Consider the following 5,140-nt stretch of genomic DNA (forward strand, 5'->3'; position numbering starts at 1 on the left):
CATATTGAGCAGCCACTATGCACCAGGAACAGTTTATATTCTAGTAGGAAATATATAGAAAAAAAAACAACAGCAATAAAAATTAAAACATGTATGTTAGTGATATGTGCTATGAAACAAAGAAAGCAGAGTGAGTTAGGAGTGTAGGCAGAGGGATAATGATCCTTAATTAGCATGGTGAGGTAAGGCTTCATTGAGAAGGTGCTTTTAAGTGAGGACCCAAGGGAGAAGGAATTAGCTGTGCAGCTATCTGCGGGGAGAACATTCATTCCCAGCAGAGAAAATGGCAGAAAATGGCAGGGCAGAAGCGTGCCTGCTCTTTGGAATAACTGCGAGAAACTGGCAGCAATAGAAAATGAATCACCGTGCTACAATTATTTGACCTTATTACATTTCAAGACATTGACCCACGACTTTATCACTATTGAACAGCCCCCTCATGCCTTTCCTGTCCTCCTTTTCCTCATGCTTTTCCTGTCCTCCATGATTTCCGGGCGGAAGCGTGCCTGGCTGGTTGGAAAAACTGCAAGAAACTGCAAGGAATGAGAAGGAGGCCAGTCTGCCTGGAGCTCTGTGAGCAGAAAGAAGGAGTCAGGCTAGGGGATGAACCCTGCATCACAAAGGGGCCGAGTTGTTGGGGGCAGAGGTCAGCAAGCTTTTCTGTAAAGTGCTAGATAGTAAGTATTTTTAGCTTTGCAAGCCACATGTGGTCTGTATCGCATATTCTTTCTCTTTTTGAAAAAAGTGTGAAAGCCCTCTCTTCCCTCTTGCCATACAAGGATTTTGCTGGCCGGCCTTAGTTTGCCACCCCCTGGGACCTTGTAGGCTGTTGTAAAGATTTTAGCATTTACTCGGAGTCACATGAGAAGCACTAGAGGATTCTGAGCAAAGGAGTAATAGGTCCTCTCTTACATTTTGAGAGTATCTTTCAGTTTTGTTTGTTTGTTTTTTTAACCACAGGCATATACCACCATGCCCGGCTGATTTTGATATTTTTTGTAGAGATTGGGGGGGGGGGGGGCGGATCTCATTATGTTGCCCAGGCTGATCTCGAACTCTTGGGTTCAAACGATCCTCCTGCTTCAGCCACCCAAAGTGCTGGGATTACAGACATGAGCCACTGCGCCCAGACTTTAAATATATGTTGGGAAACCTGGCCAACATGGTGAAACCTATCTCTACTAAAAACACAAAAATTAGCCGGCGGCAGTGGCACCCGCCTATAATCCCAGCTACTTGGGAGGCTGAAGCATGAGAATCGCTTGAGCCCAAGAGGCGGAGGTCGCAGTGAGTTGAGATCACACCATTGCACTCCAGCCTGGGAGGCAGAGAAAGACCCTGTCTCAAAAAACGTGTGTGTGTGTGTGTGTGTGTGTGTGTGTGTGCGCGCATGTGTGTGAGTGATATATATATGTCGTTTATTTCATAAGGTGCCTGTAAGTGTTAAGAATCTTTTAGTTTTTATATGCGGAATCTTTTTTTTCCTACCCCCAACACTCTTGAATGGTAATTTGGCTGGGTGTAAATTTCTTCCATTTATAGGGCATTTTCTTCAATTCTGGGGGAAAAAACTCAGTAGTTTTCTCATCAAATATTGCTTTTTCCATCTAATTATCTTTCTCTGGAACACTTATTATTTTATAAATATTTGAATCTTGTAATCTGTTCTCCATGTTTTTAGTTGCTGTTTTTTGTTTATCTTGTGCTATATTCTGAATGAGTCCTCAGTTTTGTCTTCCAATTCCCTAATTTACTGTTTGAGTGTGTTCAATCTAGAGTTTCTCCCACTTATGACCTTTAAAATTTCAATTAGTGTATTTTTTTTATTTCAAGGATTTCCAGTTGGTTCTCTCTCATACTGTTTCATTTCTGCCTATTTTTGCTGAATAATTTCATTTTGAAATGAAAGTTATGCATTCATCTCTGAACATTTTTAAAATCCAAAGGAAATTTGAGAAAATTTCTGGTCTGATTGTTAATTTCAAAGGCTATCTTTCTGTTTTGTAATTATGGTTGAAAGGTCTTTTAGCGTGAGAAAGTATTCATTTTTGTTTGATTTCTCTCTCTCTTACTCTCCCCTCATTCCTTTCCAGGAGGGCTCCAGCTGGCCCTCTGGGCCTCAAACTAGAGTCAAAGCTTAGGATTATGATTTTTCTATCCCTAGATATTAGGGATGTGGCATATTAGGGATAACTAATATCCCTAGATATTAGTTATGGGTCCAGCAGACAGCTTGACAATTTCTGGTAATGAGGTGTTCTCTTTGCTCCTCATCTCTCTAGTCTCTAATAAAGTCTCAGTCCATAGGTTAACTGCTATTATCTTCATCTTCTTTTCACAAGCGATGGAGCTCACTTCAGCCTCTGGTATCAAGCTGGAAGCCTCCGTCTCCCACCTTGTGGGGAGTGCTTTAGCCCCCTACTCCCCTGCTAAACCCCCATCCAGCTGCTAGTGTCCAACTTCCAGACTTAGAGCCCCACAAGCTTGAGACTTCAGCCTAAGGAAATACTTAGCTTAACGTGTTTCCATTCTATTTCTGGTTCATGGAGATACATAAGATATATATATATCTTGGATTACATATCATGGAGATATATAAGAGTGCAACTGTGTCTTTTTGGAAAAAATCATTTTTATATTTTAAATATCATGCCTGGGTGTTTGAAGCAAAGGGGGTTTTGGAGACAAGCTCACTTCCTTGTGTTGACTTCAACCACCTCATACTTGGTTTCTGTCCCCTACCCCCCTACAGAAACCACCACGGTTAAGGTCACTGGTGATCTTTAGGATGCCAGATCCAATGGACGTTTCTTTGTCTTAATCTTACTTGGTGTATTGTCAGCTTTTGATATAACTGACCACACTGTTCTTAAAACGTCACTCTCTGCTTGACCGCACACTCTCCTGAAACTCATTCTCGTTGTCCTTTACAGCTCCTCCTCCTCTCCTTGAATTCCACATGTAGAAGTTCTGGCCAGCGCAGTGGCTCACACTTCTAATCCCAGCACCTCTAGAGGCCAAGGCGGGAGGATCACTTGAGGCCAGGAGTTCAAGAGCAGAATAGGCAACATAGTGAGGCCCTGTCTCTCCAAAAAGCTTTTAAAAATAAAAAATTAAAAAACTGAAAAACTAATATGGAAATTCTACACCTCTATCTATACCCTTCCCTTGACGAGATCCTCAATCCCATAGTTTTAAATACTGTTTATATTCTGATAACTCCCAAATTTTTATCTCCAGATTAAATATCCTATCTGAGTTCCAGACTCAGTCTACATACAAACTTCACAATTCCAGTTGCATGTTTAATAAATATCTTAAACTTAACATGTTCAAAATAAAACTCTTGATTTCTTCCTCCAAACTTCCTCCTCTTTCAGTCTTTCCCAACACATGGTAATATCATTTATAAATTGGGAGCCATTATTATTTTTTTTTGTGTTCAAGTCTTTTACTCTCCAAGTGTAATACAATTGTTCAGCTACAACAGGAATAATGACACAAAATGGTTCTGAAAAGTACAATAGGAATATATTGTTCACTGGTTTATTTTTCCAAATGAGCAACAGGCTATTTACAAATAAGCAGATCTCCAATGATGTATATTCAAATGCAAGTCTATCACTGTTTGAAATCTAAATGAAAAAAAAATTTATTCAGGCACATTTGATCTGAGACAACAAGCAAACTTTCTGGTATAATGACAGATTCACTTCACTTTTGTTTCCAAAAGACGTGAGCACCAAAATTGTCAAAGAACACTTAATATTTAGTAAAACGGAAGCAATGTAAAAGTTAAGGAGGGGAAAAAGCATTTTCAAAGGAAATCGTTGGAGATCGATTTACTGCAAATAAAACATACTAAACATACTCCTGATAGACATGAATAATAATAAGTAACAGGTACTCAAGAAATGGCAGACCTTGCTGAGTGCGGTGGCTCACGCCTCTAATCCCAGCACTTTGGGAGGCCGAGGTGGGTAGATCACCTGAGGTCAGGAGTTCAAGACCAGCCTGGCCAACATGGCAAAACCCTGTTTCTACTAAAAATACAAAAAATTAGCCAGACATGCTGGCGGGCACCTGTAATCCCAGCTACTTGGGAGGCTGAGGCAGGAGAATTGCTTGAACCCGGGAGGCAGAGGTTGCAGTAAGCCGAGATCGCACCATTGCACTCCAGCCTGGGAGACAGAGTGAAACTCCATCTCAAAAAAAAAAAAAAAACAATTGTTTTTGGCTTGGCATGGTGGCTCACACCTGTAGTCCCAGCATTTTGGGAGGCTGAGGAAGGCAGATCACGAAGTCAGGAGTTCGAGACCAGCCTGGCCAAGATGGTGAAACCCTGTCTCTACTAAAAATACAAAAATTAGCTGGGTGTGGTGGTGCACACCTGTAATCCCAGCTACTCTGGAGGCTGAGGCAGGAGAATCGCTTAAACCCGGCAGATGGAGGTTGCAGCGAGCTGAGATCACGCCACTACACTCCAGCCTGGGCGACAAAAGTGAGACTCTGTCTTGGAAAAAAAAAAGTTGTTTTGTTTTTGTTTTTGGAACTTTCCCATTATAAACAATCTTTGGGTCACACTAGCTGAAGATGATTGGAAAAGGTATTTGTTGGTGCAGAACTGTATTTGCTTGACATCACTAAAGGAATTCTGTAGTAAACACGAGGACATCACCGGAGAAGAGCAAAGATTCATTATTAAACTGGGAAGATCCTACTTCCAGGGCTGGAGCTCTTGAAAACTCTTCAGACGCAGGCAAAATCTGCATGTCAGCTTTAGGATACTTAATGCAATAGTCTCTCATCAGTTCAACTTGTTTGGCCTTGTCAGGGTTGGAGTCAGAATTGAAAAGCAGAACCATGAGCTTGATGTTCTGACTGGGGATAAGACATGTCTTAGGGTAACTATATTTTTTGTTTTTAGGATCCAGTTGTATTTCCTTTTTTTTTTTTTCTTTGAGACAGAATCTCACTTTGTTGCCCAAGCTGGGGTGCAGTGGCATGATCTCAGCTTACTGCAACCTTTGCCTCCTGGGTTTAAGCAATTCCCCTTCCTCAGCCTCCCGAGTAGCTGGGATTACAGGCACGTGCCACCACACCCGACTAATTTTTGTATTTTTAGTAGAGACGAGGTTTC

General features: G+C 41.4%; 1 annotated feature.

Moving 5' to 3' along the window:
- Positions 605-654: an enhancer, noted in NCBI's record as "active region_4418". NCBI's record gives its function as "activates an Ori minimal core promoter by ATAC-STARR-seq in GM12878 lymphoblastoid cells {active_cell/tissue: GM12878}" and the evidence as "EXISTENCE:reporter gene assay evidence [ECO:0000049][PMID:35858748]".

Source organism: Homo sapiens, chromosome 11, assembly GCF_000001405.40.
Source record: "Homo sapiens chromosome 11, GRCh38.p14 Primary Assembly".
Lineage (NCBI taxonomy): Eukaryota > Metazoa > Chordata > Mammalia > Primates > Hominidae > Homo > Homo sapiens.